General features: G+C 37.1%; 1 long non-coding RNA gene across 12 annotated transcripts in view; it reads left to right on the top strand.

Annotated features, from left to right (window-relative positions):
* DIRC3 (disrupted in renal carcinoma 3) overlaps positions 1-13028 on the top strand; it is a 506425-nt gene that overhangs the window by 300825 nt on the left and 192572 nt on the right. For all 12 annotated transcript variants that reach the window (NR_186298.1, NR_186301.1, NR_186296.1 and 9 more), the window contains one exon: positions 11061-11238. This is a non-coding gene — a long non-coding RNA (disrupted in renal carcinoma 3). The remainder of the gene's footprint in view (positions 1-11060; positions 11239-13028) is intronic.

The raw sequence follows: 13028 nt of genomic DNA, 5'->3' as shown, positions 1-13028 counted from the left end.
GCACAGAGACCCCCGGGGAGCCAAACGGCCAAATAGTGAGTTGCTCACAAAGAAGAGTAGGGGGTAGGAGACGAAGAAACCACAGCTAAACAAGTAAAGATTGTCTGGCAACCTCATGTCATCACAAAGGATGGGGCCGCGCTGCTGGCTTTCTGTAAGGTGAGTGTGGCCGACTGTGTGCGGGGATGGACGCACGTGCGCAAGCACATTCGTTCTATAATGACTTCCAAGGAAAACTCCTCCGCCATCCTTCCAATCCACAGTGTTGGAGCAATTAGGTAGGACTTGGGCAGAATGATTCATGCTTCAATAAATTCAATTTCAACAAAACATAATTATGGTGAGTCACCTAATCGCAGCTGTAATCACGGCCCGCCCCTCCAGAAGTCAAAACAGTTGAGGGCATTCAGCAAGGGCGTCTGATTCCTCATTATGACTGAAGCCTCCATCTTTTGCCAAGCAGCCATATTTCAGACTCCAGTTCCTTTCTAATTTTTTAAACTACAGAATGTTTCAGGCATACATAAAGGTGCAATGAGTACGCTAATGAATACCTTTGTATGCACCAACCAGCCTAAAAGTAAACATTACAAATATGGTTTAAATCCCCTGTATCCATCTGTCATCCCATTCCCCTATTTCTAAGTAGGGACAACAGTAATTGATTTTGAGTTTTATCATTCTCTTGTCTGTCTTTACATTTCTACTCTCTCTCTATGTGTCCTTAAAATTATGTAGCATTGTTTTCATATATTAAGTGGTTAAATAAATGGTATAATTGTGTATCGTTCTGCAACTTGGTTTTTTTCTTAATGTTTTGTATTTAAATTGAACACGTATCTCTAGTCTTAACTTATGTTTAAAATTCCATGTATGAATAGATGAAAGCATATTTTTATCAGTTTTCCTCTTGATGGATGTTTAGTTTGTTTCCAACATTTTCAATTACAAACAATGCTTCCATGCACATCCTTATACACGTTTCCTCTCCACATGCGTAGGGAGTGGAGTTTCTGGGTTATGGGATATTTGCCTTGTAAACTTTACTAGATGTTGCCCATTTGCCCTCTGTAGTGTTTGTACCAATTTACATGTCTACCAGAAGTTTATGAGTTTTGTTTTTCTTACATTCTTGCTATTACTTCTTATTATCAGGCTTTTATTTTTTAGCTGCTTAGTGTGAAATGTTTTCTATGTGGTTTTATTTACATTTTTCTGATCACTGAGGTCAAACATTTTTGCATAGAATTAGGAACCATTCAAGTTTCTTCTTTTGTGAATTGCACGTTCATATATTTTGCCACTTGTCTATTGTTTTTCTTTCAGGGAAGCTTTTTGATAATGCAGTAAATTTTCTCATTTCGAAAATGACAATTCAGATTTTGTTTCTTTTCATGCCAACTTTAGTAAGTTGCATTTTTCAAGAAATTTATCCCTTTCATCTAAGCTATAAAATATGATAAAGTTGCTCCAATACTTACTTATTATCCTTTTAAAATCTGTAGGATTTGTGGTGATAACATATTTTTTTATTCCTGATATTGGTGATGTATTCTTTTTTTCTTTCTCTTTCTTTTCTTTCTTTTTTTTTTTTTTTTTGTCAGTATAACTAAGAGTTTGTCAATTTTTTTTTCAAGGAGCCAGCTTTTGGCTTTGCTAATTTTCACTATTAGGTATCTATTTTCAATTTCATTGACTTCTTTCTACTCTTATCTTCATTTTCTTCCTTCTACTTACTTGGGGCTTACTTTGATCTTTTTTGAACCTCTTAAGGTGGAATCATAGGCTGTTGTTTTTAGGCCTTTCTTCTTTTGCATTTAAAGCTGCAAGTTTCCCTTTAAGCAGTACTTAAGTTGCATCTTACAAATTTTGATACTGTATTTTCTCCCTTATTCAGTTCAAAACATTTTTAAATTTTCCTTGTGATTTTGACTGTGATGCATAAGTTATTTAAAAGTATGTCATTTGATTTCCAAATAATTGGAAATGACATTCCAAATGACATACTTTTAAATAATTTTCCTAGATATGGATTTTCCTAGATATGTTATTACTGATTAATTCTCTTATGATTATAGAAAACACTTTACATGATTTCTGTTCCTTTGAACTTATTGACAAGTGTTTTGCAGTACAGGTATATGGTCTATCTTGGTGAATGTACCATGCCTGCTTGAAAAGAATGGATATTTTACAGCTGAATGTAGAGTTCTATTATAATGTCAATCAGATCAGGGTGGTTGACAGTGATGTTCAGATCTTCCGTGTCTCTACTGATATTTTGTCTGGTTATTCTATCAATTGCTGAGAGAGGAGTGTTAAAATCTACTAAGATTATAGAGGTTTTTTTTTTCTACTTCTGTTGAGTATCAGGTTCTGCTATTAGATACATACATATTTATAATTACTGTCTTCTCGGTGAATTGTCCTTTTTGAAATTTTTATTCCTGGTTATGCTCTTTGTCATGAAGTCTACTCTTTTAATTTGTTATTAATATAGTCACTCTAGTCTTCTTAAGCTTACTGTTTGCATGGTGTATCTTTACCATTATCCACTTACTTTCAAACTACATGTATCTTTGTGTTTAAAGTATGTCTCTTGTTGGCAACGTGCTTGAGTCTTGCTTTTTTAAATCTACTCTCACAATATCTTTTAATGCTTAGATCATTAACATTTAATGTAATTACTGATATGGTTAAATTTAGATCTACTGTCTTATTATGTTACGATTTCTTTTTTGTTCCTCTGTTTCCCTTTTCCTGCTTTATTTTAGATTATTTGAATATGTTTAGTATTCTATTTTAATTTATATTGGCTTAAAGCTATGCATTATTATAAATATCTTAATGGTTCTATCTATCACCTGTCATCGTCAACTAAAATTTAATATTACCACTGATGTAAACCCAACAACACTATTGGTCCCTTTATTCTATAGTCAACATATTTTATATTACATATGTCTCATAAAAACTCCACCAATATTAGATTTTAGTGTAAGCAAATATAGGTATTTTAAAGAGCTTAAAAGGAAAGAAAGTAGTGTTTTATATTTACTCAGATGTAATAGCTTTTTGATATGTAAACTTGGCTAGGCTAAACTACCATTCCAGTTATTCAGTCAAACATTGATTTAGGTGCTGATGTGAAGAAATTTTGTAGATGCAATTAAAGCCCCCAATCATTACTATTTGACTTTAAATTAGTCAAAAAGGTTATTATCTTGTGTGAAACCTTTAAAAGAGGGTCTAGGCTTTCCCTGAGCCCAGAGACTCCTACCTGTGGGGTTCAGTCTATTCATCTTCTCTCTTAGGCCACTTGCCCTAGACAGACTCCATAACTGCATAAGCCAATTCTCTGTAATAATCTTCTCCCCACAACTCCCCTGCCCTTCTGTGTATGCATCTCTATATACACTTTTCTATCTCTAACACACACATACATACAGTCATTTGCTGTTTCAGGATGGGGATAGTCTTGGCAAACGTATCCTTAGGTGATTTTGTCATTGTACAAATATCATAAAGCATACTTACACAAACCTATATGGTATATATTATATATATACCTAGATGGTATATCTACATATAATAATTATATTATAAATATAATACAAATATAATATGTATTTATATAAATATAAATATATAATATATAAAAATGTACATGTAGTTTTCCATATGGAAAACCAAATATCCCAGCATGATTACTGAGTACCATAATTTCCTCTACTTGATCTACAATGCCAATATCAAGTGCCATATATCAGATTTCTATATATGCTCCATCATAATTTTGTGGGAGCACCATCATGTATGCGTCTGTCATTGAGCAAAACGTCATTATACAATGCATGACGGCATAAATACTCCTCTGGTTGAACCATGACTTATACACCAGGTATTTACCAGTTTTGATACTTTATTCTTTCCTGAAGATGCAAGTTTTACTCTAGTGTCTTGTTCTTACAGTCTAAAGAAATTCCTTCAGCAATTTTTTGTATCACAGGTCTGCTAGCAATGAATTCTTAGACTTTCTTTATCTGAAAATATTTTTATTTTATCTTCATTCCTGAGAATATTTTAGCTAGATACAAAATTTCAGGTTGATAGTTTTATTTATCTATTTATTTATGTGTCTTCGTTGATAGTTTTATTTATCTATTTATTTATTTATCTTCAGCACTTTAAAGATATTGTTCCACTGTCTTCTCGCCTCCATGGTTCCTGATGAGAATCCACTGTCATTTAAATATTTGCTCTTCTGTATGTAATATATTATTTTTCTTAACTGCTTTAAGATTTGTTCTTTATTCTTAGTCTCCAGCAGTTTGATTACAATGTTTCTAGGCAGGGCTTTCTTTGAATTTATAAAATTTATGATTGGGGGTTGCTGAGATGCTTGAATATGTCTTTTGCCAAATTTGGAAAAATTTTTGGTCATCATTTCTTCAAAAAAAATTTTTTTTTCCCTAACATCTTTCTTTTTTCCTTCTGGAATTCCAGTTACATGCATGTTAGAGCTTTTGATGGTTGTTTTCCTCTTGTTAATTCTTGGAGTCCTGTATGTATTCTAAATACTAATCTTCATAGGTTATATGTTTGCAAATTTCCTCTGCTACTATATTGCTTATCTTTTTCACTTGTTCATAGTATCTTTTGTTGTATATAAGTTTTGTATTTATTTTAATGTAGGTAAATTTATGAAGCCTCTTTAAAGTTGTTGCTTTTTAAATGTTTTTGTTTGTCATAGATTAAAAATTCTTTTCTACTCAAAGGTTTCAAAGATATTCTAAGATTTCTTCTAAAAGGTTTTAAGTTTTCTTTCATGTCTATGCATTTAATCAACATTAAATACAATTTTGTATTAATTAGATGTAGGGATCTAATTAGAATATTTTTTGCTTATTAATAACCAGTTATCTCAACATGTATCATTTTCCCCATGGATCTGCAATGTCGTTCCCATTTTATGTTGTGTTTTCTAATATGGGATTCCTCTTCTTTCTTTAGAAAACTCTTCACCATCATTAGGGGAAAGAAATTCTCCACCTAGAAAGCCTTTCTGGGATCTAACCAATAGCAAAAGGGAGGGTGTCTACAATACATGATTTTATTCAAACCACTGGATTTTGGATTGGCCCTTTCAGATGCTCTTTTAATTTAGTTCTGATATTCTAAAGGAGGAAGTTTTGGGAGAGAAGAGGAAATGGTCAAGTGGTAAAGGCAGCCCCTCCTGGCTAGTGAGCTCTGGAAGGGAAAGGATATTAATCAATTTTTTATAACCCTCAAATGCCATCAAGCTTATTAAGAATAAGTTGGCCATGAGAAGTATCTCTTGGCTAAGTCTTTTCTCACAAATTTTCCAACTAGCAAAATCTGCTGTCCACGTGAATGCCAATTGCAAGTGTCTCCTTGGTGGTAATAAACCATTTAAATTCCTTCACTAACTCCAACTAAACATGAATATCTCAAACTCAAATTATGTCTCTGCTCTTAGAAAGAAGTGCTATTTCTCCAGCCCTCCTTGGTTATGAGTGAAGGGCTACAGGAAAGAAATCTGAAAGGCTCTTTTGGCCACTTTTTTTCTATATTGAGCCACATTCACAGCCAGAAACCATTTCAAAGATTTCTGTACTTGGCTGAAACAACTAGTGGTCATTAGTGATGTACTTAATTCTTCAGTTGTTTGGACCACATGATAACTAGCCCATTCAGAGCCTGAACTCACCAAAGTGATTAGGTACTTTGGGGCTGTAAATGTTGCCTAAATGTTTAACCTATTTTTTTTCTTTCTTGTGGCAAGAGAGAATTAACATAGAATTTGTACTCTGCTCACTGATCACTCCCTCTTCAGAGACTAAAAGACTGTTTTATATTGTGTCTACATAGGAATAATTAACTAGTTTGGATAATTTCCCGAGAAATATACTATTAAACTTTCATTTTTACCAAACTGACCTTTGATTTTAGTAGCTTTTGTAAACAGACACTTAGATTGAAATCATTATTTTTAAATTTTTTTGATAGACAAAATTCCCCCTGTGCCCTTCATATTCTCTGTAAGACTTTATTTATTTATTTATTTTTTGTCTTCGGACTACATCTTGGAGTTGAAAATGGGCATAGTACCTTCTTGATTAAAGTACTGAGAACTACTCCTCAAACAAACCACTCACATACACCCCATCATAAAAATGGACTTGTGTCTTCTAGTCTTCCCACTGAACCTTTCCTTCACAATAAACTGGGTATGAACCAATTGTCTTCTTTAAGGTTCCATAGGGAACATCTTTATCACCTTACTGCTGAGCTGACCCAAGGATTACAGAAGATCACAGGGCATATGGAAATTGTAGGTTTTAACTTTTATTATGTCAACTCCCTGCCCTATTTAATTTTCTTCTTCAGTTGCCCCAGGTTGGCATAGTAAGAGCCTGAAAGCAGTGCTCTATAGTGGAAGATCATTGGCCTAGGAGGCATGAGCCCTGGTTCTAGCTCTTGTCACACCTGCACAGCTGGTCACCTCAGTTAGATCATTTTTCTGGTTCTCAGTTTTCATGTCCACAAAAATCAGGGATCACAAACTTAGATGCTGATAAGAGTTAATCATTTAGGGTACATGAGGCAAGCAAATCTGGTGTGTTCTATGATAAACTAGAGTTTATTTTCTCCATACAACCCCAATCCAAAGAGAAGCACCCAACTCCAATTGCTGCCATGGGAATGAGGACCACTGTGTTTCCAGATCTTTTATGTTTTCTAGAGATCCCAGCTATCTGGATTTTTTTTGAAAGGATCTATCTCAATATCTAAGCATTGGCAACAAATACAAAAATTCAAAAATTAAACTTTCTGTGGCCCTAGTAAAATATGTCTCAATCCTTGGTTACCAGTCGTAACCTCTAGACTAAATGGTATTTAAAGCCTCTTCCAGTTCTGAAATGTTATACTTTAATTATCCAAATGGTCTGAATTGAAGAAAGAATTGGTATTTGAATATGAGGAATATTTTCCTGGCATCCAGTTCTTATATTTTGAAACAGGTGACCATGGGGAATTGTGAAATGCCCTTCAAGTGATCTTGAAGACTAAGAGACACCTCCTTCTATCTGGAATTAGTTAGGAGCAATTGCAGGGAGGAGGTTGAGTGAGATGTTCTCTTGCAATTTTTCTCAGCTGGGATGTTGTGAAAATGGTCTTTTATGAGTTATGTTTCAAATGTCCTCGGGTCCTTTCAGAGGAGGAAGGAGATGGTAGTTTGGTTTCTGATTCCCAGGACCCCTCCCAACTCAATTCCTGGAATCATCCTGGGAGACTCTGTAAACTGAAATTTAAAGTTACAGTTTGTAGTTTCCCCTCTAAGGTTTGGATTAGGTTTCATAACTTGGAACTGAAATCAGGGCAGCAGTCAGAATATGGATGAAAATGTCTGTAGCTTTGGTCATCAGCATGCTAATGAAAACCAGAGAAAGCAATAAATAAAGGTGGGGATGAGTGATGGCAAAGATAAGAGCCTTTTAACCTCACTTTTTTTCACTATAATTCCCTCCTTAGGAAAATTGATCATGATTACCCCAATCCATTTTCTGATGGATTAAGAACACCTAGGAAACCCACAAACATCTTTTATGCACTACGTGTGCTCAAGCCCACATAGTGTATAAAAAGTTCAGCAAGCAGAGAGAATTCAATGTTGTTACTGATTGTATCAGGATAAATACTAGGTCTCTGATTCCAAAGTAACTGCAGCAAAGTAAACACACCACCACCCTTAAAAAGAGACAGAAGATAGAGGCAAGAAAGCAAGATAGAACACAGATGTATTTGATTACTAATCAAGCCTATTTCAACAGTGCAAAACATATTAATGGGAAAGAGGGAGGTAGACTGAAGCCCAGGCAGGCCAAGCTAGGCGAAGGATCTACTTTCATGTATAAATGAATAACATGGATCATTGACAGTGAACCCAAGTGCTTTTGATGGCTAGATAGGAAGATAGGGCTGTCTGAGATTGTAATCTTTTCCATCACCACTATTATCACCGAAACTTTAAGTGCTAGTCTGTACACTTGATGAGTGATGGGCAGAAAGTTCTAGTTAGATATCATACATGGCAGTCGTGTTGTTTTACGTCTGCAGCATGAGTTCTCCCTTTGCATAACAGCACCTTGAATTTCCTTTGGGGTAACACTCTTCTGGCACTGCATGCAGTTTTGGTGGGCCTCTCAATTAACTGGCAATGTGGCCAAGGGCCGGAGATAAATAGGGCCAACAAGTCCTGCTCTCTGAGGAATTTGAATCTTAAGAGAAGTTACACAAGGGTAAGTCCAGAGATCGTCCTGATGGAGATAGTTGATTTGTGCCTGAATGCTATCCTAGGCCCTCTCATTTTCTGAGGTCTAACAGTTCATTTTTTTTTTCTGTGATTCACAGAACTATCCCATAGCTTTAAAATAGATTCTACCTTATATCTAAGCTAGTCAGAGTCACTTCTGTTGCTTACAACCTAAGAAACCTAAAAGATATATCAAGCATCTTCCTTGTGATCTCACCAGCTGAGAGTTGATGGTGAGAAGACAGACTGAGAATCTATAAAATATTATTAGTAAGTGAGTTTGGTGAAGTTACTAGATACAAATTCAATCTATAAAAATCAATTAAATTTGGGGGCAGCAATAGAGTCCTGAAACAGAATCTCAGAGCTGATGATTTGTTGCTGGTATATATAAATCAATATTTCTATATACATATGTAAATAAATATATTTAACAAATAATTTAAAAATAAAATTTAAAAAGCATACCATTTACAGTAATATCAAAAACATATAGTTGGGATAAATCTACCAATGAATCTATATATGTACAAATCTCTACACAGATATCCATAAAACACTGTTGAGATAAAACCAAAAAGACCTAAATAAGTAGATTCTTGTTGTCAGCCATCAAATTTTGGGGCAGCAATAGATTTCTGAAATAGAATCTCAGAGCTGATGGTGGTGCAGTACAAGTCCATCTTTACGTAGATAAGGAGAATGAGGCTAGAAGGAAAAAACATCCTCTTCAAGTTAGCCCAGACAGACAAAAATAGCCCTGTATTAGCACCAGCTTACTGCAGTTTGCTGCCAATCTGGACATCTGTATGCTGGGGCTAGACCCACAATCCTTATCTCTCAGGGCCATTGCTTATACACTCCTGGCCTCTAGTTTGCTCTGCCACTTTTTAAGGACATCCTAGCAATGGAAGTTCTGTCTTGTTTCTTTCCATCTTTCCTGAATATTCTGGTACCCATGGAAAACCAACGGGATGGACTCACTATCTATAAGATTCTCTGGCTGGATTAGGCATCTAAATTCATGTTGATTTCTAGGGTTAGTAACCTGCCATACCTCTGACTGTTTGAAAGTGGCAAGTCCTTGCTTGAAGACTCACTCATTACCTTTAGCTCAAGGGACCACATTCAAACAAGAGACATCTTATCATTACGATTTCCCATTGTCTGGTCACAGACAATGTATAAATGTCACTTCTTCTATTCCTTCTGGAATAACTAGTCTTTAGTAACCAAACTCAGACTAAGAACTGCAGCATTTTTCCCCACTTCCAGCCTAGATTTTCCCTCTGCTGTTTTTTCCTCTTTTCCATGGGTTATTTTTTCCAACTTAGGAGACAAGGAGAATGTGTATCCCAGGTAAAGTGAGGAGGAAAAGGGGAGGAGCTATGGCACAGACACATCAAAAGAGCCCTTTGTGCTCAGGGCACATTATTCCTGGAATCCGATCAAGTGCCCAAAACCCAACCAAGCTTTTCAGACAGCACAGAAACCAGTCATGCAGGCCTCTTGGGCTCCGCTTTTTTAAAGCTTTATAGGGTACACTGAATTATTTGGTTGGGTCTTTTCAACCGTGTGACATTTTGGTTTTCTATGGCACAAATGGAGTTGATCATTAATTATTTGGACGCTTTAATTAAAAAAAAAACCTCACTGTGGATTTATGAGGGTCTGCTGGGGGGCAAGGACAAGGAGCCCTTTAGTGATTCTCTCATTTGAATGAGAGTGAGGGTTGTGGAGGTCTAGAAAGGGAGGGTATAGAATCATCTTCCAAGAAGGTCTTAAACCCAAGTTAGGGTTTATTTGACGGAGGAGGGGCTTACAATGAAGAAAATGGAAGGGAACACAAGAAAGCAGAATTCTGAGACCTGCCAAATGCACTAGGCGGGAGGGCGTTTAATAAACGCACTAGGGGGAAGGGCATTAGCAGGGAGCCCTCAGCCATCAAGAGCTTCTGAATCAATACCTTTCACATCAGAACTAGTAAGTCCTCTGGGTTGAGGTGGGGGAAGGGCTGGTTTCTGGAACATACGATTCACTGAACCACAGAGAGACTCCAGGAGGGGAGTTTGTGAGTGGAATGTTGAATGCCCAGAAGGACAAATGAATGTCTTCCTGTTTCAGAGCAGCGAGGTAGCGAAGGTGTAACATCCGCTTCCTTTCTGGGGCATGTTTTGCAGCCTCAGCCTTCTTCTGTAACATGGATGTGTGTCCCTCCTGGGTCACACACACGCTCCACTTCCTGATATCCTGAAAAAGCTGTCACACTCCCAGAGAGTTGCGCTCCTGGGTGCCTCTCCACAAAGGTTAATCTCAATGACAAGTGATCCTGGGTGGGGTTGGGAAGTCTGGGAAAGGAAGTAAGCTCTTCTCCAGAGACAGCAGGAATTCCCATCTATTCAGCCCCTTGAATCCAGGAGCCTGAGAGAAAAGACTCAGCACATTTAAAAAATACTGATGAAAACTGCTTATCCTTAAAATCAAAATGCATAGTAATGCCATATGCCAAAAAGAAACATACTGATTTGTGTGGATATATTTGCTGATTTCCCCACTTAGATTTTTAAAAACCCTTACCTTGGAGTGATTCAATATGGAAAAAAAATGCCAAAAAACTTGAATGTTACTGATGTCTTTCCTTCTAAAGTGCACAAAATTATTTTAAGAATTGTTCTTATGGTGCCAGCTGACTAGACCATATTATTTATCTTATTTTGCAAAGGAGAGAAACTGAGTCCGAGGGATGTCAACATGCCAAGTCCATGGAAATATCAGTGGGCTGGAATTCTAGCTGCCTGAAAGAAGACATTCCTCACACAAGACCTCACAATCATATCCATGGAATTATAGCACTGGGCTCTCCAGATGGTGCTACAGGAAGACCTCCAGAAATTTGACAAGTAAGTTATTTGTTCTTCCTTACAGTCACTTCTCTGCAAAGGTTGGCTTTATGCATCTAATTTAGAGATGAGAAAAATAAAATTTACCCAAATTTTTGTAGCAAGTCCATTCGGGGTGTTTTTGGTAGTGTTTGCTTTGTCTAAAGTTAAGGGCTGGAGAGGTCATAATGAATTGAAGATAAATCTGGCTTCAGTTATTTGATGATAAAATAATGGAATTAAACATTAGAAAGCATAATTGATGGACTTACTTGACGTGAGAGCAAAAGCAAGCTTTCATGTCTCTTCCCAGCCTCCGTAGATCAAGATGGGAGGAATGTAGCTGGGAGAAGGGGTTCTGAAGCCTGGGGGAAAGAAATGGCTCAGACTCAACCCCACAGGTGGAGAGGGTAATGGGCCATAGCTCAGGAATTTTTAGGTTCCCCAGGGTATGCTGTCCACCTCCACCTGTTAGGGAAGGCATGGGGACATCAGCAATGGGTTTTGGCAGGTAAAAATACAATGACATGGCCTGGAGAATGTGTTCCTTTATCTCAGTTTTGCCCACAGAGAGAAGCAAGGGCTTCACTTTGGCCTGGGATCTACAGGGTGCATTGCTGCCTCCCATTGACAGGAGTTGAGCACTGCCCAGGCCCAAGGCACCCACCAGTTTTCATTCTAAAGTATAGGATAACAGCTAGTCACACACTTATATTTGCACCTAAATTCAAGATACTACCTTATGACAAAGTTTAATCATCTTGCTTATAACTCAGGGCTTAGAGGATATAACAAATTTCAGAGTGTTTAGTGATGAAAGAGAAGATATACTACATAAGAGGCATTTGTTTGGGACCAAACCCTGAAGCAGAGCCACTGTGTCTGAAGTCCCTTTACCTGGAGCCCTCTTTCCCCTCATCTTTACCTGACAGATTCATGTTCTTCATTTCCTTCTCAGTTCAGGGTCAGACTTCCCCAGAGATGCTTTTCTGTACCCCTTGGGCTAAATTAGGTCTTTGTGTAAGGTCTATTAAAGTGCCCTCTGTTTTTTCTTCACAGTACTCATCACATGAAAAAATAGTTACATACTATGATAAGCTATTTAATCCTTCTTTCTTCCAGTGGATGGTAAAGTCCTTGAAGATAAGGACCATGTCTGTGGTGCTCACAATAGATGTCTAGCACCAAGCAATATTTATTGAATGAATGAATGCCCTTGTCAGGAAACCCATTCTAGACTGGGGTTCTGCCATTATATGCCAGGATGGTCTTGGCCTTTCTGAGGCTCAGTTTCCTCATCTGTTAAATAACTCTGTTTGAATGCAGGATCTCTGAGGCCCCTTCTGATGATGCCACTCTACAATCCATTGTAACCCACTTGTGGTTCTGTTTTTCTTTGGCAGTTCCCTTGGCTCTTCAATTCAACCTCCCAAATAATTTCAGCTCTTCAATGCATTAATGATAAGGAGATCTTTTACTGTTGATTCTATAGTTCTCTCGGGGGAAGCTACAGCTCACAGCTCTTAACACTTCACTCCCCAAATTCCTATTAGACATTTTTTTTCCCTTGTTTTCCTTTTTTGGCTCTCTGCAGCTTCCTCTTTCTTCTGGGCCTCTCATTACTCTCTGAAGCCTCAAAAACTTTTGTAATTTATTTAGAGCAGCTCAGCACTGTGCCCAAAACCCTTCTCTGTTCAGCTGCCTCAGGGTATACAGTTGTCCTTGCTCAGATATCCCATGAGCCAGCTGCAGCAGCTCAAGTTTATTGTGTGTCTCTTTCCAAATCCATATTCAGTGACATTATGCTGGTA

Source organism: Homo sapiens, chromosome 2, assembly GCF_000001405.40.
Source record: "Homo sapiens chromosome 2, GRCh38.p14 Primary Assembly".
Classification (NCBI taxonomy): Eukaryota; Metazoa; Chordata; class Mammalia; order Primates; family Hominidae; genus Homo; species Homo sapiens.
The sequence above is the reverse complement of the archived record's forward strand: the minus strand, read 5'-3'. Positions and strand labels throughout refer to the sequence as shown.